Source organism: Homo sapiens, chromosome 2 (assembly GCF_000001405.40).
Source record: "Homo sapiens chromosome 2, GRCh38.p14 Primary Assembly".
Taxonomy (NCBI): domain Eukaryota; kingdom Metazoa; phylum Chordata; class Mammalia; order Primates; family Hominidae; genus Homo; species Homo sapiens.
Window position 1 is genome coordinate 70,156,036 of NC_000002.12, and position 23,298 is coordinate 70,179,333.

General features: G+C 45.0%; 1 protein-coding gene across 15 annotated transcripts in view, besides 1 other annotated feature; it reads right to left on the reverse strand.

The window, feature by feature from the left end:
* C2orf42 (chromosome 2 open reading frame 42) overlaps positions 1-23,298 on the reverse strand; it is a 41,135-nt gene that overhangs the window by 6,151 nt on the left and 11,686 nt on the right. For 12 of the 15 annotated variants that reach the window (NR_145968.2, NR_145970.2, NR_145972.2 and 9 more), the window contains 5 exons: positions 19,638-19,742; positions 13,522-13,626; positions 9,493-9,600; positions 9,057-9,157; positions 4,590-4,752 (listed from right to left, as the gene is read on the reverse strand). Coding sequence is in view for 9 of the 15 variants with exons in the window: in NM_017880.3 (NP_060350.1) it covers positions 4,590-4,752; positions 9,057-9,157; positions 9,493-9,600; positions 13,522-13,626; positions 19,638-19,742 (582 nt within the window). In the remaining 6 variants the exon portion in view is untranslated. The remainder of the gene's footprint in view (positions 1-4,589; positions 4,753-9,056; positions 9,158-9,492; positions 9,601-13,521; positions 13,627-19,637; positions 19,743-23,298) is intronic. The other 3 variants (NR_145967.2, NR_145969.2, NR_145971.2) reach the window with 1 other exon arrangement.
* Positions 5,005-5,054: an enhancer, noted in NCBI's record as "active region_16001". NCBI's record gives its function as "activates an Ori minimal core promoter by ATAC-STARR-seq in GM12878 lymphoblastoid cells {active_cell/tissue: GM12878}" and the evidence as "EXISTENCE:reporter gene assay evidence [ECO:0000049][PMID:35858748]".

The following is a 23,298-nucleotide window of genomic DNA, read 5'->3' on the forward strand; positions in this document are numbered from 1 at the left end:
TCCCAGCTGTTTGGGAGGCTGAGGCAGAACAATCTCTTGAACCCGGGAGGCGGAGGTTGCGGTGAGCCGAGATTGCCCCATTGCACTCCAGCCTAGGCAATAAGAGTGAAACTCCGTCTCAAAAAAAAAAGAATATGGTATCACCTTCAAAAACTATGAAGACAAGACAGAGAACGTAGTCCATTTAGCAAAAAATAAGACAAAAGACCAACTATATAAATTATAATAAATATAAAGAGGATAGACCATTAAAATTAGAAAAACTCAAAACCAAGTATATAATGTTGATAAGAGATTCATCTAAGTTGGGCCTGGTGGTGTGTGCCTGTAGTCCCACCTCCTTGGGAGGCAGAGTGGAAGGATCACTTGAACCCAGGAGTTCAAGGCTGTAGTGCACTATGATCACACCTGGAAATAGCCATTGCACTCCAGCCTGAGCAACATGGCAAGACCCTGTCTCTGAAAAAAGATTCCATTAAAACAGTGTCACAAAAAAGTTAAAACTAAATGGATGGCGAACATATTAAAAAAAATAAAAAACAGGCCAGGCATGGTGGCTTATGCCTGTAATCTCAGCACTTTGGGAGGCTGAGGCACGAGGACTGCTTGAACCCAGGAGTTCAAGACCAGCGTGGGCAACAGAGTAAGACCTCGTCCCTACTAAAAATAAAAAGAAATTAGCTGGGAATGGTGGCACATGCCTGTAGTCCCAGCTACTCAGGAGGCTGAGGTGGGAGGATCGCTTGAGCCCAGGAGTTTGAGGCTGCAGTGAGCCGTGATTGTGCCACTGCACTCCAGCTTGGGTAACAGGGCAAGACCCTATCTCAAAAAAAAAAAAAGAGTAAAATTTAAAAAATTAAAAGAATAAAAAACAAAAGAAAGCTGGTGTCACTGTTGTAATACTGGACAAAGAATTTAGGGCAAAGTTATTTTTACATTGATAACATACAATTTACGTTAACAACATCTGGCAATAACTCTGATGTACCAACAACACTGCATTTAAAATAATTAAAGGCTTTTAGAAATATAAGAAGTCATTCAGGGAAACATAATTTTAGAAGCAAATGGTAAAATGACTCTTCTAGTCTTTGGCAGGTCAAAGAGATAACAAAGAGGACTTAAACACCAAAATAAGGCCGGGTGCGGTGGCTCACGCCTGTAATCCCAGCACTTTGGGCGGCCGAGGTGGATGGATCACGAGGTCAGGAGATCGAGACCATCCTGGCTAACATGGTGAAACCCCGTCTCTACTAAAAATACAAAAAATTAGCCGGGCGAGGTGGCGGGCCTCTGTAGTCCCAGCTACTCAGGAGGCTGAGGCAAGAGAATGGCGTGAACCCCAGGGGGCGGAGCCTGCAGTGAGCCGAGATCGCACCACTGCACTCCAGCCTGGGCGACAGCGAGACTCCCGTCTCAAAACAAACAAACAAACAAACAAACAAAAAACCACCAAAATAAAATGAAAAAGCTATATATAGCTGGGCGCGGTGGCTCACGCCTGTAATCCCAGAACTTTGGGAGGCCAAGGTGGGCGGATCATCTGAGGTTAGAAATTCGAGACCAGCCTGGCCAACATGGCGAAACCCCATATCTACTAAAAATACAAAAATTAGCAGGGTGTGGTGGCATACGCCTGTAATCTGAGCTACTCAGGAGGCTGAGGCAGGAGAATCACTTGAACCCGGGAGGCGGAGGTTGCAGTGAGCCGAGATCGTGCCACTGCACTCCCGCCTGGGTGACAGAGCAAGACTGTATCTGAAAAACAAACAAAAACTATATACGAGTTTATATTGGATAAATAACATCTATGCTAGCACAAATTCATATCATATATTGTTAGTGAAAAAACATTTTAAAATTCCTAAAAAGAAAGAAATTAAGGCCGGGCTTGGTGGCTCACGTCTATAATCCCAGCACTTTGGGAGGCCGAGGTGGGCGGATCACCAGACGTCCAGAGTTCGACATCAGCCTGGTTAACATGGTAAACCCTGTCTCACTAAATATACAAAAATTAGCTGGGCATGCTGGCATGCGCCTGTAATCCCAGCTACTCAGGAGGCTGAGGCAGGAGAATTGCTTAAACCTGGGAGATGGAGGGTGTAGTGAGCCAGGATCGCACTGCTGCACTCCAGCCTGAGCGACAGAGTGAGACTCGGTCTCAAAAAAAAAAAAAAAGAAAGAAATTAAAGATACATCTTCTGACCTCAAAATAATAAAACTAGAAATTGGAAACTAAGAATATGAAGATTAAAAGCCTCAACTAATTTGAAATTTTAAATACAAGGTACTGAGGACAGGGAGAAACTAAATTATAATTATAGATGATTCAGATAATAACTTTAAATGTTATCAAACATTAATTTAAAAAATTGCATATTCCTTTTATTATTTATTTATTTATTTATTTATTTGTTTGTTTGTTTGTTTTTGAGACAGAGTCTGGCCCTCTCGCCCAGGCTGAAGTGCAATGGCACGATCTCGGCTCACTGCAACCTCCACCTCCTGGGTTCAAGCAATTCCCCTACCTCAGCCTCCCGAGTAGCTGTGACTACAGGCACACACCACCACACCCAGCTAATGTTTTGCATTTTAGTAGAGATGGGGTTTCACCATGTTGGCCAGGATGGCCTTGATCTCCTGACCTCGTGATCTGCCCGCCTCAGCCTCCCAAAGTGCTGGAATTATAGGCATGAGTCACCACGCCCGGCCACGCCTGGCTAATTTTTGTATTTTTAGTAGAGATGGGGTTTCACCATGTTGGCCAGGCTGGTTGGAACTCCTGGCCTCAAGTAATCCACTTGCCTAGGCCTCCCAAAGTGCTGGGATTACAGGCATGAGCCACCGCGCTCGGCCGAGTATTCCTTTTTTTTTTTTTTTTTTTTGAGACGGAGTCTTGCTCTGTTGCCCAGGCTGGAGTGCATGGAGTGCAGTGGCGCGATCTCGGCTCACTGCAAGCTCTGCATCCTGGGTTCACACCATTCTCCTGCCTCAGCCTCCCGCCACCGCGCCCAGCTAATTTTTTGTATTTTAGTAGAGATGGGGTTTCACCATGTTAGCCAGGATGGTCTCGATCTCCTGACCTTGTGATCCGCCTGTCTCAGCCTCCCAAAGTGCTGGGATTACAGGCGTGAGCCACCGTGCCCGGCCCTCGGCGGAGTATTCCTTTTAAAAGCTACAAAAATAAAACAGTTCCAAGAAAATATTAGGAAAATTTTAAAAGAGAAATTATTGTAGACAAAAGAAGGAAATAATTTAAAGCAAATTTAGGGCCCGGCCTGGTGGCTCACACCTGTAGTCCTAGCACTTTGGGGGGCCGAGGTGGGCAGATTGCCTGAGCTCAGGAGTTCGAGACCAGCCTGGGCAACATGGTGAAACCCCGTCTCTACTAAAATACAAAAAATTAGCTGGGTGTGACGGTGGGCGCCTGTAATCCCAGCTACTCGGGAGGCTGAGGCAGGGGAATCGCTTGAATCCGGGAGGCAGAGGTTGTGGTGAGCCAAGATCATGCCACTGCACTCTATCCAGCCTGGTGACAGAGCGAGACTCCCTCTCCAAAAAAAAAAAAAAAATTTAGAACTGAAAAAAGCCAGTTACCTGATTTGGAAAACACCATAAAGCAGATGAAATTCAAGTACAGTCTAAAACAGACTTAGAAGAGATTTTAATTTTTCTTCTTTTAGTAAAGTGGGGGTCTTGCTATATTGCCCAGGCTGGTCTTGAATTCATGGCCTGAAGCGATCCTGCTGCCTCAGCCCCCAAAGCTCTGGGATTACAGGCATAAGCCACTGTGCCCAGCTTTCATTTACTATTATCACTACTGGGACTTCATCAAGGGTACCAATTTAATATTAAGTATATTAAAACTAAGAGATTTCCATAACTGGAAATAACAAGTTAGAATCAGGATAGATATTTCATTCACAAGAGCAGCAAAAAAATAATATTCACAAGAATTTGACAGAATAATTATAAATTCTAAATTTCTTCTGGAAGAATAAATACAAAACTGAAGAAACAAAGGGAGGCCACCAGATAGATCACAAAGCTAAATTAGTTAAAACTATGGCTGGCATGCATTTATTCATTCAGCAAGTCTTTTTTTTTTTTTTTTCTTTTTTTGAGGCTGAGTCTCACTCTGCCGCCCAGGCTGGAGTGCAGTGGTGAGATCTCGGCTCACTGTAACCTCTGCCTCCTGGGTTCAAGCGATTCTTGTGCCTCAGCCTCTCGAGTAGCTGGGACTACAGGCATGCGCCACTATGCCTGGCTAAGTTTTGTATTTTTATAGTAGAGACTGGGTTTCACCATGTTGGCCAGGCTGGTCTCAAAACTCCTAACGTCAAGCAATCCACCTGTCTTGGCCTCCCAAAGTGCTGGGATTATAGGTGTGAGCCACAGCACCTGGCCTGTAATTTTATTTTTGAAAACACTGGTTCAATTGAAACAAAATACCTTATCCCACGATTGCCTTTACAAGGTGAATGAATGTGTCTTCTTTGTTTAAGGTCAAGATCCAAAGCTTTGGACAGTGTACTGTACTGTTCACCAGCTGACACTCAAAGGAAGATGCAGTTTTGAAGTTCACTTACCAACTTTGAGAAAAGTTTTTAGTTCCAAGGGTCGCAGCACTGGTTGTTTTTCTATACGACCGTAGGTTTCTGCTATGCTTTCTACTTCCACTTTAGGGCATTTAAATAGCTCATAAGTCCCATCTCGGTTCTGGATAAAGCTACGGGTGATTTCCAAGGGCATCTGGACACCAAGACAATACCAAAAAAAGGTGAGAGAGAAAACTTTCAAAACAGACCAATACCTGGATGACGACAAATCTTTTATTATTCCTTCTTTCTTGTTAAGTATATTCAAATGAATTACAACTTCCCTGTTTTTCAAGAAAATCCTGTCAACAAATCTGCCTTTTCTCCCTTACATCATTCATGGCTTTCCTTTTTTCTCTAAAATCTTAAATTTCCACCCCAGCCAAACTATATACCAATTGAGCCTCTAACATCTTCATGGGTACATGACTGCTGCTGGCACAGACCTGCTCTAAAATCAGTTTCATTCCTTCCCCTACTGCTCTGCTAGCAGCATTCTTCTCTTAAATTCCTTTGTTCATAGCACCTGCAGCTCACCTCACATCCTGTATGCTTCATACTGTCCTTGGGACTGAGCCAAGCAGAACTGGAACTGGATGCTGTGGTGACCCAGAGCAAATTACAAACTTCTCAGAGCCTGTTTTCTCACGGGCAAAATGCAGTTAATGCCAGGGCATGGCTGGGAGGTCAAATGAGGTGACGGAGGTAAGTAATGCCTGACAGTGAGAAGCTCCATGATGGTTAGCTCTATTCTCCCACATGCCTGCACCCTGAGTTGCTTCAGTGTCTCCCTAAATGTCATCCATTCCAGGCTAAAAACTGCCTCTGTGCCATGTGCATTTAAAGGAGTTCCTCAAGTGTTTTTAATGCCAACACAGCCCTTTTCTAGGGTTCACATGTATTTACTTTTTTTAAGAGGCAAGGTCGCTAGGAGTGGTGGCTCACGCCTGTAATCCCAGAACTTTGGGAGGCTGAGGTAGGCGGATCACCTGAGGTCGGGAGTTTGAGACCAGCCTGACCAACATGGAGAAACCTCATCTCTACTAAAAATACAAAATTAGCCAGGCGTGGTGGCAGACGCCTGTAATCCCAGCTACTCAGAAGGCTGAGGCAGGAGAATCGCTTGAACCTGGGAGGTGGAGGTTGAGGTGAGCCAAGATCACATGATTGCACTCCAGACTGGGCCACAAGAGTGAAAGTCCGTGTCAAAAAAAAAAAAAAAAAAAGAGTCAAGGTCTCACTTGGTTGCCCCTGCTGGAGTACAGTGGCACAATCATGGCTCACTGTAGCCTCCAACTCCCAGGCTCAAGTGATCCTCTTGCTTCAGCTTTCTTAGTGGTTGGGACTATAGGCACACACCACCAGGCCTCACTTTTTCTTTTTTTCTTTTTTTTTGGAGATGGAGTCTAGCTCTGTCACCCAGGCTAGAATGCAGTGGCACGATCTCAGTTCACTGCAACCTCCGCCTCCCAGGTTCAAGTGATTCTCCTGCCTCAGCCTCCCGAGTAGCTGGGATTACAGGAGCAAGCCACCACGCCCGGCTAATTTTTGTATTCTAGTAGAGACGGGTTTTCACCATGTTGGCGAAGCTGGTCTCAAACCCCTGACCTCAGGTGATCTGCCCACCTTGGCCTCCCAAAGTGCTGGGATTACAGGCATGAGCCACCTCGCCAGCCTCTTTTGCTTTCTTTCTTTCTTTCTTTTTATTTTTTTAAGAGTAGGGGCCTTTGCTGGCCTGGCGCACTGGCTCACGCCTGTAATCCCAGCACTTTGGGAAGCCAAGGAGGGTGGATCACCTGAGGTCAGGAGCTTGGGACCAGCCTGGTCAACATGGTGAAAGCCTGTCTCTACTAAAAATACAAATTAGCTGGGCAGGATGGTGCGCTTGTAATCCCAGCTACTCGGGAGGCTGAGGTGGGAGAATTGCTTGAACCTGGGAGGCAGAGGCTGCAGTGAGCCAAGATTGTGCCCTGCATTCCAGCCTAGACAACAGAGTGAGACTCTGTCTCAAACAAAAAAAAAATAGTAGGGGCCTCGCTGTGTTGCCTAGGCTGGTCTTGAACTCCTGGCCTCAAGCAATCCTTCATCTCAGCCTCCTAAATCGCTGGTATTATAGCCACCATGCCTGGCTCACATGTAAATTCTGTAGCTATCAAACAACTTATTTTTTTTTCCTGAACAGAAGAATGCCTTGCAATTAAGCTACTCTTAATGTATCAAATCACATTATGCTGAATTTTCTACTTTTTTGGAGACGAAGTCTCGATCTTGTCCCCCAGGCTGGAGTGCAATGGCGCAACCTCAGCTCACTGCAACCTCCGCCTCCCGGGTTCAAGCGATTCTCCTGCCTCAGCCTCCCAAGTAGCTGGGATTACAGGTGCCTGCCACCATGCCTGGATAATTTTTGTATTTTTAGTTGTGACGGGGTTTCACCATGTTGGCCAGGCTGGTCTCAAACTCCTGACCTCAGGTGATCCACCTGCCTTAGCCTCCCAAAGTGCTGAGATTACAGGTGTGAGCCACCGTGCGCGGCCTGAATTTTCTACATAATTCTATTACTGTAGGAAAAAAAACTCCATCTCAGATTTTCAGGATCTACTTGAAAAACATACATACATATATATTTTTTGAGACAGCGTCTTGCTCTGTCGCCCAGGCTGGAGTGCAGTGGTGCGATCTCGGCTCACTGCAAGCTCCGCCTCCCGGGTTCACACCATTCTCCTGACTCAGCCTCCCGAGTAGCTGGGACTACAGGAGCCTGCCACCATGCCCGGCTAATTTTTTTGTATTTTTAGTAGAGACGGGGTTTCACTGTGTTAGCCAGGATGGTCTCGATCTCCTGACCTCGTGATCCACCCGCCTCGGCCTCCCAAAGTGCTGTGATTACAGGCGTGAGCCACCGCACCCAGCCCGAAAAACATTTTAAAATGTGTAAGACAGGCACAGGGGCTCACGCCTGTAATCCATGCACTTTGGGAAGCCAAGGTGGGCGGATCACTTGAGATCAGGAGCTTGAGACCAGCCTGGCCAACATGGCAAAACCCTGTCTCTACTAAAAATACAAAAATTAGCCAGGCATGATGGTGCGTGCCTATAGTCCCAGCTACTCAGGAGGTTGAGGCATGAGAACTGCTTGAACCTGGGAGGTGGAGGTTACAGTGAGCCGAGATCGTGCCACTGCACTGCAGCCTGGGCAACAGAGCAAGAGACTCTGTCTCCAAAAAATAAAAATAAAAACATAAAATGTCTAGTGTGGCTGGAAGAGGCAGATTACACCTGTAATCACAGTACTTTGGGAGGCCAAGATGGGAGGACTGCTTGAACCCAGGAATTTGAGACCAGCCTGGGCAACATAGCAAGACCCTATCTTAAATTTTTTTTTTTTTTTAATTAATAGGGTGGGCCTGGTGGCTCATGCCTGTAATCCCAGCACTTTGGGAGACTGCGGCAGACAGATTGCTCGAGTCCAGGAATTTGAGACCAGCCTGGGCAACATGGGGAAACCCCATCTCTACAAAAATTAGCTGGGCATGGTGGCATATGCCTGTAGTCCAAGCTACTCAGGAGGCTGAGGTGGGAGGATCACTTGATCCCAAGAGGTGGAGGTAGAGTGAGCCGTGACTGCACCACTGTACTCCAGACTAGGCAACAGAGTAAGACTCTGTCCCAAAAAAACCAAAATTCAAAAAAAAAAGACCAAAAAAAAATTTTTTTTAAAGGGTCATTTCTCGGGCAGGCACAGTGGCTCATGCCTTGTAATCCCAGCAGTTTGGGAGGATCATGAGGTCAGGAATTTGAGACTAGCCTGGCCTACATGGTCAAACCCTGTCTCTACTAAAAATACAAAAATTAGCCGGGTATGGTGGCACGTGCCTGTAATCCCAGCTAGCCGGGGGGCTGAGGCAAGGGAATTGCTTGAACCCGGGAGGCAGAGGTTGCAGTGAGCCAAGATTGCGCCACTGCACTCCAGCCTGGGTGACAGAGCAAGACTCCATCCCAAAAATAAAATAAAATAAAATAAAAAGGGTCATTTCTCTAATGAGAACAAAGCTGTAGTTTGGGGAGGAGGGTTTAACTGTGCTGGTGCCACTGACTTCACAAATATTATATCATCTCAAATTATTTATATACTTTCTAGCTGCCTGCCAGTCAAATCTAGGACTCATCATAAGTATTAGGGGATCATTATTTAATTTATAAGAAAAATTATGTTTTTTTAATCCCAAAGGCAAAGGAAAAGTATATTCCAATTTAAGATACTTTTTTCAAGCCATAGGGAACACACATTAAAATTGGAGTCAGAACTATAAAGCCAGGGATATTTCTGAATATCTCTTAGCATGAAAAAAAGAAACTCTGGTGTCTGTAACTCAAGGAACCAGTGCAAATATAGTCCCTGTACTTGCCTCCCTCTCTTCCCTTCACAACCCTCCCACTGTTATAGAAATAAACTCTCACCTCTGGGGTATCTAAGATTTGTTTAACTTGCAGGATATTAGTGATATGCCAAGTATACTTGGAAAAGGTTCCCAGTGGCAAGGCATCTTTCCGAACAAAAGCTTCAACGTGAAAAAAGGACAAAATTAGATTACCAAAAAATAACATTTTCTTTTGTTGTATTTGTTACCTAGTTTCTAATACAGTACTATTATTTCCTTATAGATTCTCAGCACTTTTAAAAAGAAATTCTAGAGGCAAATATATAAAAGGTTTTGGTGACAAATCAGTTGATGTAGATAATTGATATGCTGATCATTGAAGGCTTTGTGCTCCAGACATGTGAGTAGAAGTCCTAACTCTGAATACTCACGGTGAATATTCCACACAGATTTTTTCCAAACATAATTCTCTATGTTCGAGACATCCATCACTATACCAAAGGGAAATCCTGTACCTGTGGTGGAGTTGGGGAGCCGTTTTTTTGCACTTCCTATAGATATTCTTTGTTGCAGGGCATCAAAAAATGACTGAGGAATGTGGAACACCAATGGTTCTGGTTTGCCTATGGGAAACAAGAAGAAACAACTCATTTAAAGAAACTCAGTGGACTTTCTGATGTACAGGGAGAGGTGAAAGAAAAGGAATCAAGGGACGGTAATAACTAAAAATACCACTGAGATTTCTTTATACAGAGGCAAAAAGAAGGCTTTGATTGACCTTTCTGGGCCAAGAACTGTCACTAGTCCTACTGTTGATCCCTTGCAAACATAAAAAACACAGTGTAGCCTGGGCAACAAAGAAAGACCCAGTGTCTATAAAAAAAAATTTTTTTTTTGAGATGGAGTCTCACTCTGTTGCCCAGGCTGGAGTGCAATGGCATGATCTCGGCTCACTGCAACCTCTGCCTCCCGGGTTCAAGCAATCCTCCTGCCTCAGCCTCCTGAGTAGCTGTGACTACAGGCGTGCACCACCACGCCTGGCTAATTTTTGTATTTTTAGTAGAGATGGGGTTTCACCATGTTGGCCAGGCTGGTCTCAAACTCCTGACCTCGTGATCCACCCACCTCGGCCACCCAAAGTGCTGGGATTACAGGCGTGAGCCACCGTGCCTGGCCAAAATTTTTTTTTAAATTAGCCAGGCGTGGTGGTATGCACCTGCTGTCCCAGCTACTTGGGAGGCTGAGGTGGGAGGATCAACTGAGTCGAGGAGGTTGAGGCTGCAGTAAGCCATGATCACGCCACTGCACTCCAGCCTGGGCAACAGAGTGAGACCCTCCCTCAAAAAGGAAAAAAAAAGAAAAGAAAAGAGAGGCCAGGCGTGGTGACTCACACCTGTAATCCCAGCACTTTGGGAGGCCGAGGTGGGTGGATTACCTGAGGTCAGGAGTTCGAGACCAGCTTGGCCAACATGGTGAAAACCCATCTCTACTAAAAAAAAAAAAAAAAAAAAAAATTAGCTGGGCATGGTGGTGTGTGCCTGTAATTCCAGCTACTCAGGAAGCTGAGGCAGGAGAATCGCTTGAACCCAGGAGGCAGAGGTTGCAGTGAGCCGAGATCATGCCACTGCACTCTAGCTTGGGCAACAGGGTGAGACTCCACTGAAAAAAAAGAAAAAAGACAATGAAAAAACAAACCAACACAGTAGACCCTTGTCATCCACCAAGTATAACATTTCAAATCCGCAAATTTTAAAAAGACCAACACAGCACAGACTTTCCCCCTTAAAGGGTATGCGAAGTAAGATGGGATGAGAACAATGAGGCCGAGGTGGCTGCCTCCACTTGATTCCCTTTTGCTCGCTATCCCCAGGTTCTTGCTATTTGCATTCATGTCTAAGCAAACTAATGACATGCTCTCTCACCCGATGGTCAGCACCATGAATGCTGAGGGACTACAAGTTAGGACACTGCTTACCCAGCAAGCATCTGTCTTTCTCTCTGAATATGACCTCAAGGCAGGTAAAATACTTGAAAGTACTTAACCAACCTCTTAAAGAACCTTGCGGCCAGGCACAGTGGCTCACACCTGTAATCCCAGCCCTTTGGGAGGATGAGGCAGGTGGATCACCAGGTCAGGAAATTGAGACCATCCTGGCTAACATGGTGAAACTCCATCTCTACTAAAAATACAAAAAATTAGCCGGGCATGGTGGCATGCGCCTGTAGTCCCAGCTACTTGGGAGGCTGAGGCAGGAGAATCGCCTGAACCTGGGAGGCGGAGGTTGCAGTGAGCCAAGATCACGCCACTGCACTCCAGCCTGGGCGACAGAGTGAGACTCTGTCTCAAAAAAAAAAAAAGAAAAGAAACTTGTCAGACATTAGGTCAACAAAAAGAGTTAAGGGGAGGGGGTCAAGTGAGTTCAGTCTTTCTTAAAAATTCTGTCCAGACCAGGTGTGGTGGCTCACACCTGTAATTCCAACACTTTGGGAGGCCTAGGCAGGCGGATCACTTGAGGTCAGAAGTTCGAGACCAGCCTGGCCAACATGGTGAAACCCTGTCTCTATTAAAAATACAAAAATTAGCCAGGAGTGGTGACACATGCCTATAATCCCAGCTACTCAGGAGGCTGAAACACGAGAATTTCTTGAGCCTGGGAGGTGGAGGTTGCAGTGAACTGAGATTGTACCACTGCACTCCAGCCTGTGTGACAGAGCAAGACTGTCTCAAAAAATAAAAAAGAATTAACTTCAAAAAGGTAAAACACACACACTCATAGTCAAGGAGCGAGCTGATGGAAACCTGGACAAAGGTGGTAGTAATGGAGATGGTAAGATGGAATAGAGGGTGGTACAGGAATGGGATGGAAGAGGGAATAGGATGGGATGGAAGAGGACTACAAGTGTTTAGCTTATAGTATTATCAATATTCTGTTTTCTGGGCTGGGCACGGTGGTTCACGCCTGTAATCCCAGCACTTTGGGAGGCCGAGGTAGGTGGATCACCTGAGGTCAGGAGTTCAAGACCAGCCTGGTTAACATGGTGAAACCCCATCTCTACTAAAAATACAAAAAATTGGCCAGGCATGGTGGTGCGTGCCTGTAATCCCAGCTACTTGGGAGGCTGAGGCAGGAGAATTGCTTGAACCTGGGAGGTGGAGATTACAGTGAGCCAAGATCACGCCACTGCACTCCAGCCTGGGCGACAAGTGATTCACCTACCTCAGCCTCCTGAGTAGTTGGGACTACAGGCCTCTGCCACCATGCCCAGCTATAGGATCCTTTTTTTTTTTTTTTGAGATGGAGTCTCACTTAGTCACCCAGGCTGGAGTGCAGTGGTGCAATCTCAGATCACTGTAAGCTCCACCTCCTGGGTTCACGCCATTCTCCTGCCTCAGCCTCCCGAGTAGCTGGGACTACAGGCACCCGCCACCACACCTGGCTAATTTTTTTGTATTTTTAGTAGAGATGGGGTTTCACTGTGTTAGCCAGGATGGTCTCAATCTTCTGACCTCGTGATCCGCCCGCCTCAGCCTCCCAAAGTGCTGGGATTACAGGCATGAGCCACCGCACCCGGCTGCTAATAGGATACTTTTAAGGCAACAAGCAGAGACTGGCTAGATCTGAAACTGGTGACGTTCCATGAGACTATAACAAATAACACCCAAATCCAGCCTGTGTTCTCCAATCTTCCTCAGCATGTTTATGTCCCTTTTTTTTTTTTTAGATGGAGTCTCACTGTTGCCCAGGCTGGAGTGCAATGGTGCGATCTTGGCTCACTGCAACCTCCGCCTCCCGGGTTCAAGCAATTCTCCCACCTCAGCCTCCCAGGTATTTGGGACTACAGGCACCCACTATAATGCCTGGCTAATTGTTTTGTATTTTTAGTAGAGATAGGGTTTCGCCATGTTGGCCAGGCTTGTCTTGAACTCCTGACCTCAAGTGATCCGCCCACCTCGGCCTCCCAAAGTGTCGGATTACAGGTGAGAGTCACCATGCCCGGCCAGTATGTTTAGTAATTCTATATAACTATCTTAGTCTCATGTGTTTAGATTTTCAATTTTTCTTTTTTCCATACAGGGTCTCGCTTCGTTTCCCAGGCTGGAGTGCAATGGCACTATTTTTTGTAGAGATGGGGTTCACTATGTTGTGCAGGCTTAGATTTTCTCTAATCTTTTTTCCCCTTGCTTTAAGTTTGAGAGTTAGAATAGTCTCATAAAGCTTCAGTATCTCCCTCACCACACACACACACACACACACACACACACACACACGTGCACACGAACTTATGCAAGCAATAAGACTACCTGCCTTTACTTATTATTTGCTATGTTTTTTCTCTTCTGTCTCTAAATTATAATAATTTTGCTGCGCCTGAATTTTAACTATGTGATTGTTTTTTTCTTTCAATTAGATTTCTACTTTCTTGTGGCCCAGTGCTCTCTGGACTGAAGTCCAATTACTTTTCCTATCAGAGGAGAATTACAGCACAATTACCTTAATTTCTCCTACTTTCAGCAAGAGCCCAGTTAGATGAACAATACTTACCATCAAACTGATAGTGCATGGTTTGATGGATGCGTTCTGTGACACTGGCCAGCCAGTCTTGGAAGGATAAAGTCACTTGTGCCTCATCTAACAGCTGACCACAGGCTAGGGAAAAAAAAACCACACATACACACTTCTTTAGTAACTTTTCTTACAAAATAAACAGCTAATTGAAGTTTGAAAAAGTTAACAAGTTTTTTTATTTTTATTTTATTTTTTTGAGACAGAGGTTCGCCCTTGTTGCCCAGGCTGGAGTGCAGTGCACAATCTCAGCTCACTGCAATCTCTGCCTCCTGCGTTCAAGCGATTCTCCTGCCTCAGCCTCCTGAGTAGCTGGGATTACAGGCACCCGCCACCACACCCGGCTAATTGTTGTATTTTTAGTAGAGATGGGGTTTCATCATGTTGGCCAGGCTGGTCTCCAACTCCTGACCTCAGGTGATCCACCTGCCTCGGCCTCCCAAAGTGTAGGGATTACAGGCGTGAGCCACCGCGCCCGGCCTGTTTTTTATTTATTGACAAGGCTTTGTCATGTTGCCCAGCTGGCTTCGAACTCCTAGGCTCAAGCAATCCACCTGCCTCAGCCTTCTGAAGTCCTGGGAGAAGTGTTAATAAGTTTGTCCAGAAAAAAAAAAAAAAAACTTGAAGCTGAACTTCAAAGAAAGCAAATAAACTAAGTGAAATAAGATATTCTGGGATTTTTTTTTTTTTCTTCAGTCTCACTCTGTCGCCCTGGTTGGGGTGAAGTGGCATGATCTCAGCTCACTGCAACCTCCACCTCCCAGGTTTAAGCGATTCTCATGCCTCAGCCTCCTGAGTAGCTGGGACTACAGGTGCGTCACCATGCCCAGCCAATTTTGTTTTCTTTTTAATAGAGACAGGGTTTTTGCCGTGTTTCCCAGGCTGGTCTCAAACTCCTGGCCTCAAATGATCTGCACGCCTTGGCCTCCCAAAGTGCTGGATTACAGGCGTGAGCCACCTGAGGTCAGGAATTCAAGACCAGGCTGGCCAACATGGTGAAACCCCCGTCTCTACTAAAAATACAAAAATTAGCTGGGCGTGGTGGCATGCACCTTAATCACAGCTACTCTGGAGGCTGAGGTGGGAGAATTGCTTGAACCCGGGAGGCGGAGGTTGCAGTGAACTGAGATCGTGCCACAGCACTCCAGCCTGGGCAAGAGTGAGACTCTAAAAAAAAAAAAAGAAAAAGAAAATACGAAATGAGAAGCAACACTAAACTGCATATAAAAGAATGGTCCTATATAATGACTGTTTTAGGCTGGGCTTGGTGGCTCACGCCTGTAATCCCAGCACTTTGGGAGGCCGAGGCGGGTGGATCATGAGGTCAGGAGATCGAGACCATCCTGGCTAATACAGTGAAACCCCGTCTCTACTAAAAATACAAAAAATTAGCCAGGCGAGGTGGCAGGCACCTGTAGTCCCAGCTACTCGGGAGGCTGAGGCAGGAGAATGGCATGAACCCGGGAGGCGGAGCTTGCAGTGAGCCGAGATTGTGCCACTGCACTCCAGCCTGGGTGACAGAGCGAGACTCCATCTCAAAAAAAAAAAATTAACCTGGCATGGTGGTGCGTGACTGTGGTCCCAACTACTCAGGAGGCTGAGGTGAGAGGATTGTTTGAGCCCAGGAGGCAGAGGCTGCAGTGAGCCGAGATCATGCCTCTGCACTCCAGGCTGGGTGTAGAGTGAGACCCCATCTCAAGTAAAAATAAATAAGTAAATAAATAAAAATAATGGCTGTTTTAGAGGTTTATAAATTAGTTTTATTCCTGATGAACATGTATCCATATGCCCCAGACCCTCTCAATAATGAACATATTCTTTCATGCCAAGGTTGACCACAAATAGATGACTGAGTGATGCACGCACTGTGGGTTGCAATGATAATACCTTTAGACTTAAAACCTAAAACCTTGTATTCAGAAATGTAAAATGAATGAATTCACTTTTTTTTGAGACCGAGTCTTGCTCTGTTGCCCAGGCTAGAGTGCAGTGGCATGATCTCAGCTCACTGCAACCCCTGCCTCCCGGGTTCAGGCGATTCTCCTGCTTCAGCCTCCTGAGTAGCTGGGATTTACAGGCACCTGCTACCGTGCCTGGCTAATTTTTGTATTTTTAGTACAGATGGGGTTTTGACATCTTGGTCAGGCTGGTCTTGAACTCCTCACCTCGTGATCCAACCACCTCGGCCTCCCAAAGTGCTGGCATTACAGGCATGAGCCACTGCACCCAGCCAAATTCACTCTTAAATATAAGTGAAAGAGTGAAATCTTGCAGCCCTGGAGTAAATAACTGGAAAAAACAGTAACGAGTGATGGAATTTAATGGAGCCAGAGTTTAGAGGTCGGAGTCAAAAGGCTATGGGAAGCTGGGTGCAGTGGCTCACGCCTGTAATCCCAGCACTTTGGGAGGCCAAGGCGGGTGGATCACCTGAGGTCAGGAATTCGAGACCAGCCTGGCCAACATGGTGAAACCCTGTCTCTACTAAAAATACAAAAAATTAGCCAGGCGTAGTGGTGTGCGCCTGTAATCTCAGCTACTCGGGAGGCTGAGGCAGGAGAATCGCTTGAGCCCAGGAGGCGGAGGTTGCAGTGAGCTGAGATTGTGCCACTGTACTCCAGCCTAGGCGACAGAGTGAGACTCTGTCTCAAAAAAAAAAAAAAAAAAAAGGCTATGGGACCTAGGATCCCCACCCACTGAGTGACGAGGGTCCATATCTCAAGTTCCTCTCTTCTAAGATGAAGATATGCATCTGGATATCTCCAAATTCAAGAGCCTTCCACAGATCTATCATTCTATTTCTTTTCTTAAAATATCTTTATTCCGGGCACGGTGGCTCATGCCTGTAATCCTAGCACTTTGGGAGGCCGAGGCGGGTGGATCTCTTGAGCCCAGGAGTTTGAGACCAGATTGGGCAACATGACGAAACTCCGTCTCTACTAAAAATACAAATAAATAATCAAGTGTGGTGGCATGTGCCTGTAGTCCCAGCTACTTGGGAGGCTAAGGTGGGAGGATAATTTGAGCCCAGAAGGCTGCAGCGAGCTGTATCCCCGCCACTGCGCTCCAGCCTGAGTGACAGAGCAAGACCTGTGTCAAAGAAAAACACAACAAAAAAATACCGCCAACAACAAAATATCTTCACGTGTCTGAAGTACAGTATCACCTTTTGTAGAGATAATGCCTCAATGACTATTCATTTAAAACTAAGATTATCAGAGGTAAAGGCATACAGTGACAATTTAGATTGAAGCTACCTTCCTTTTTCTTTGCACCAAAGGAAGTGACAAAAAATTATTAAAAATCAGCCAAGCACAGTGGCTAATTGCTATAATCCCAGCACTTTGGGAGGCCAAGGCAGGCGGATCACTTAAGGCCAGGAGTTCGAGAGCAGCCTGGCCAACATAGCAAAACCCCATCTCTACCAAAAATACAAAAATTAGAAGGGTATAGTGGCAAATGCTTGTGATCCCAGCTACTTGGGAGGCTGAGGCACGAGATGAACCTGGGAGGCGAAGGTTGCAGTGAGCTGAGATCACGCCATTGCACTCCAGCCTGGGTGACAAAGCAAGACTCTGTCTTGAAAAAATATATGTATATAAATAATAAAAAAACCTATTTGATGCTGTTGATCTGCTTACTTTGTGACTTTCCTTAAACACTTATGCCTAGAATGCCTAAGTGCGTAAGTTCTTTTTTTTTTTTTTTTTTTTTTTTGAGACGGAGTCTCACTCTGTTGCCCAGGCTGGAGTCTAGTAGCATGATCTTGGCTCACTGCAACCTTCACCTTCCAGGTTTAAGCGATTCTCCTGCCTCAGCCTCCCAAGTAGCTGGGATTACAGGCACATGCCACCATACTTGGCTACATTTTTTATACTTTTTAGTAGAGACAGGGTTTTACCATGTTGGCCAGGCTGGTCTCAAACTCCTGACCTCAAGTGATCCATCCGCCTGCCTCAGCTTCCCAGAGTGCTGGGATCACAGGCGTGAGCCACCGTGCTTGGTCATAAGTTCTTAATGAATTACTTAATTAGTATTGTTTTATATTATTCTTTTTTTTCTTTATTTTAGACAAGATTTCATCCTGTTACCCGTGCAGTGGTGCAATCATGACTCACTGCAGCCTCGACATCCCAGGGTCAAGCAATCTTCTCACCTCAGCCTCCTAAGTAGCTGAGTTTACAGGCATGTGACACAACACCCAGCTAATTTTTTTTTGTTTTTTGTGTTTTTTTTGGTAGAGATGGAGTCTCACTACTCCTACCTCGGCCTCCCAAAGTGCTGGGATTATAGGCGTGAGCCACCACACCCAGTCACATAAAACGCCTTTTTCCTTCAACTTTGAATCTCTATACCAATTGCACATGAGTAATAAGCAATAAGATGAACACATCCTGCAAGACACCTGCTGCTAAACATGTCAGAATTTTTTTGTTTAAAGACATAATTTAGGCCAGTCGTGGTGGCTCACACCTGTAATCTCAGTACTTTGTGAGGCTGAGGTGAGCAGATCACTTGGGGTCAGGAGTTTGAGACCAGCCTGGACAACATGGTGAAACCCCATCTCTACTAAAAATACAAAAATTAGCCGGGCATGGTGGCGTGCACCTGTAATTCCAGCTACTTGGGAGGCTAAAACAGGAGAATCGCTTGAACCCAGAGGCGGAGGTTGCAGTGACCAAGATCATGTCATTGTACTCCAGCCTGGGCAACAGAGTGAGACTCCATCTCCAATAAATAAATAAATAAATAAAAATAAATACAATAAATTACTTTTTAAGGTAATTGTACATTCACACGCAGTTGTAAGAAATATAAGGCTTCTATACCCTTCATCCGGATTCACCCAAGAGTAACATTTTGTAAAACTATAGTACATCACAGTCAGGAAAATGACATGGTTACAATCTAGTGACCTTATTCACATCTCACCAGCTTTATGTACTTGTGTGTGGTATGCATGCATATAGTTCCATGCAATTTTAGGGCATGTGTAGACTTGTGTGACCAACACCACAGTCAAGACATAAAACAGTCCATCACAAAGACTCCCTGTGCTACTCTTTTATTGCTGCTGTTACAACCCTCCCAACCCCCTCTTTCTTTTTTTTTTGAGACTAAGTCTTGCTCTTATTGCCCAGGATGGAGGAAAATGGTGCGATCTTGGCTCACTGCAACCTCTGCCTCCCGGGTTCAAGTGATTCTCCTGCCTCAGCCTCTTGAGTAGCTGGGATTACAGACGTCTGCCACCACATCTGGCTAATTTTTTCTATTTTTAGTAGAGACAGGGTTTCACCATGTTGGCCAGACTGGTCTCAAACTCCTGACCTCAGGTGATCTGCCTGCCTCAGTCTCCCAAAGTGCTGGGATTACAGGCGTGAGCACCGTGCTCAGCCCCAACCCCCTCTTTAAATCCTGGCAACTACTAATCTGTTCTCTATCTTTATGGTTTTAGACATAATTTAGTTTTTTTTAAAAATTATTTTTTTAAATTAAAAAAGATTATTTCATCACCCAGGTATTTTTAAAATTTAATTACACATATGTTTTGTTTGTTTGTTTGTTTAGGTAGAGACAGGGTTTTGCCACGTTGGCCAGGCTGGCCTCGAACTGCTGGCCTCAAGTAATCCACCTGGCTTGGCCTCCCAAAGTGCTGGGATTACAGGCATGTGCCATCACACCCAGCCTCATCACCCAGGTTATTAAGCCTAGTATCCATTAGTTATTTTTCCTGATCCTCTCACCCCCTTCCACCTTTCCTCCCTCCTCCCACGTTTCACCCTCCAATAAGCCCCAGTGTGTGTTGCTCCCCTCTATGTGTCCATGTGTTCTCATCATTTAGCTCCCACTTATAAGTAAGAACATACTGTATTTGGTTTTCTGTTCCTGCATTAGTTTGCTAAGGATAATGGCCTCCAGCATAATTTAGCTTTGAGCATGATTTGAAACTGGTGGGACAGGAGGGACCTCAGCCTCAGTGCTTCTGTTAGTATTTATGCTGGGACTCTTTGGGTGACAATGTGCATGATTATACTGCTTCTGGCTTCTTTAGGATGACTTTCCACCACTGTAGCCTATTCTAGGGAAGGGAAACTTACCCTGCCTTTTTAACGAGGAAGCAACCACAGGCTTTTTCAGGCCACTTTTCCTTAGATTACTGCTCACTGCATCTTGAGGCAGTAGTGAACTGTTCATCTGTGCACCTAAACCACAAATCATTACAGGTTTAACAATGTATCTGCTAAATATAAATTGATTTGATGTTAATTTTTAGAGTCTAAAACATATAAACAGTCTTTGCTAATTTCTAGGTTAGCTTCACAGTTTCTAGGAGTTAGCATTAGTCTTTACACATAAAATTTTAGCTTTCTTATGCTCTTTATAGGAAATTGGGTGAATAAACAGAAATGAAAGGAAGAAAAAAATTCACTTATTGCTCCCACCTGTCAGACAATTACGATGACTTTTCTAGTGAACTGTCTTCCGTTTTCTTCTCTGTGAATATGTTATTGGTTTTGTGATTTTTAAGTAGTTGTGATTTTACCAGAGTTGCCAAATTTAGCAAAAAGAAAATGTTCTTTTAAATTTCAGATAAACAACAAATAATGTCTTAGTATCAAAGTATGTCACAAATATTGCATGGAAATACTTATACTAAAAATTATTCGTTCTGTAATCCCAGCACTTTGGGAGGCCCAGGTGGGCTGATCATGAAGTCAGGAGCTTGAGACCATCCTGGCTAACATGGTGAAACCCCAACTCCACTAAAAATATAAAAAATTAGCCGGGCGCGGTGGCAGGTGCCTGTAGTCCCAGCTACTCAGGAGGCTGAGGCAGGAGAATCGCCTGAACCCAGGAGGCGGAGCTTGCAGTGAGCCGAGACTGCGCCACTGCACTCCAGCCTGGGCGACAGAGCGAGACTGTCTCAAAAAAAAAAAAAAATTATTTGTTAACTGAAATTCAAGTTTAACTGAGTATTCTATACTTTATCTGGCTACCCAAGTGATCTGAGCATTTTCCCAAATTCTTTATTATCACTTGTTTTTAATTTTTATTTTTTAGAGATGAGGTCTTGCTATATTGCCCAGGCTGGAATGCAGTGGCTATTCACAGGTCCAATCACAGTGTGCTAGAGCCTTGAGCTCCCGGGCTCAAGGGACCCTCCTGCCTCAGCTTCCTGAGTAGCTGGGACTACAGGCATGCACCACTGCACCCAGACTATAATCATTTTTATGCCTGCCTGATATTCTATGGTAAAGTGGCTTTACCATGGTTCATTTAACTATCCCCAGTGGTTAACCCTTAGTTGTTTCTAATTTTTTAATTTTCTAAATAATCATAAAATCAACATCTCCAGACAAAATGTTTTTCCTATACCAATAATTATTTCCTTAGAAAAGATTATTCAGAAGTGGGGCCGGGCATGGTGGCTCACACCTGTAATCCCACCACTTTGGGAGGCCGAGACGGGTGGATCACCTGAAGTCAGGAGTTTGAGACCAGTCTGGCCAACATGGTGAAACCTCATCTCTACTAAAAATACAAAAATTAGCTGGGTGTGGTGGCGAGCACCTGTAATCACAGCTACTTAGGAGACCGAGGCAGGAGAATCACTTGAACCCGAGAGATGGAGGCTGCAGTGAGCTGAGATCGCGCCATCACACTGCAGCCTGGGAAACAAGAGCCGAACTCCACCTCAAAAAAGAAAAAAAAAAAATAGCCAAGCGTGGTGGCAGGAGCCTGTAATCCCAGCTACTCGGGAGGCTAAGGCAGCAGAATTGCTTGAACCCAGGAGGTGGAGGTTGCAGTGAGCCAAGATCACGCCACTGCACAATCCAGAGCAAGACTCCATTTCCAAAAAAAGGGGAAAGACTAATAAGTAAACATTTAACAACAATTTCTGCTCTATATTCCTGCCAGAATTGCCTCTCTAAAATACACAAATGACCATGTCACTTTGTTTCTCCATCTTTCTTCAACTTCCCAGCACCAAAACTCTTGTGCATGACCACCTGATCCATCCCTAGCAATATTTCCTATAGGTAGGACCATTTTAAGGATCTTAACAGATACTACAAGCTATATACCAATGATTATAGCAATGTATACTACACTAGCCATGCCAGAGAGCCTGGATTTTACCTTTGCCTGTGGTCTCATCATTTTAAAAAACTTTGCCAGCTGGGCATGGTGGCTTACACCTGTAATTCCAACAATTTGGGAGGCTGAGACAGGAGGATCACTTGAGGTCAGGAGTTTGAGACCAGCCTGGTCAACACAGTGAAACCCTGTCTCTACAAAAAACAAACCAAAAAATTAGCCAGGCATGGTGGCTTGTGCCTGTAGTCCCAGCTACTTGGGAGGCTGAGGCAGGAGGATCTCTTGAGCCTAGGAGGTCCAGGCTGCAGTGAGCCATGATTGTGCCCCTGCACTCCAGCTTGGGCAACAGAGTGAGAACTCATCTCTTAAAAAACAAACAAACAAACAAACAAAAAAACACACAAACTTTGCTAATTTGGTAGCAAAAGGTATCCTGTTTTAATTTTGCATTTCTAAAATGTTTGCATTTCTCTGTCTACTAGTAAGTTTGGAGTTTGGTCCATGGGTGTGGACCAAGTAATATTTTCATTTTGTTTAGACTCTAGGTCTCTTGATGCTTACCTACTAGGATACTTCACCATTTTCATATTGATTTATCAGAGTCCTTAACTGACACTAGTATTAAGCATTTGAATTTAAAAATGTGGCCTGGCCAGGCATAGTGGCTCACACCTGTAATCCCAGCACTTTGGGAGGCCAAGGCGGGTGGATCACCTGAGGTCAGGAGTTCAAGACCAGCCTGGCCAACATGGCGAAACCCCGTCTCTACTAAAAATACAAAAATTAGGCAGGCATGGTGGTGGGTGCCTGTAATCCCAGCTACTCAAGAGGCTGAGGCAGAAGAATTGCTTGAACCTGGGCAGTGGAGGTTGCAGTGAGCCGAAGATCGCATCAGTGTACTCCAGCCTGGGCAACAGAGCGAGACTCCATCTCTAAATAAATAAATAAATAAATAAGGCTGGGTGCAGCGGCTCACGCCTTACTTATTACAGGCTCAGGCCTGTAATCCCAGCACTATGGGAAGCCAAAGCGGGTGGATCACCTGAGGTCAGGAGTTCAAGACCAGTCTGACCAATATGGTGAAACCCCATCTCTACTAAAAATATAAAAATTAACTGGGCGTGCACCCTTAGTCCCAGCTACTCAGGAGGCTGATATGAGAATTGCTTGAACCCGGGAGGCAGAGGTTGCAGTGAGCTGAGATCGCACCACTGCACTCCAGCCTGGGCGACAGAGCAAGACTCCATCTCAAAAAAAAAAAAAAGAAAAAAATGTGTGTGTGGGTGTGTGTATGTGTGTGTTTCTCCATATACTGAAAATGAAGACAATAACCTATATTTCTAAATTAGTGTGGGGAATATAACCATTGTCACAAAATTTTTTTAAACACTCTATGGATGAAAACTTCATAATACTATCCTAAGGCAGATTAAGGTATAAAATTAATCTGTTTAAGGGATGTACAAACATATACAGTAAAAGTAGAATTTGGTTGGATCTTATTTTTGGCTAAGGGATCAAACTTTTAGCTTAACTTGAAAAAGAATCATCAATGGAGAGTAAAACTTTTCTCAGGAAAAAAACCCATAAGAACAAAAACATAATATTTCTTGGCCAGGTGTGATAGCTCACACCTATAATTCCAGCACTCTGGGAGGC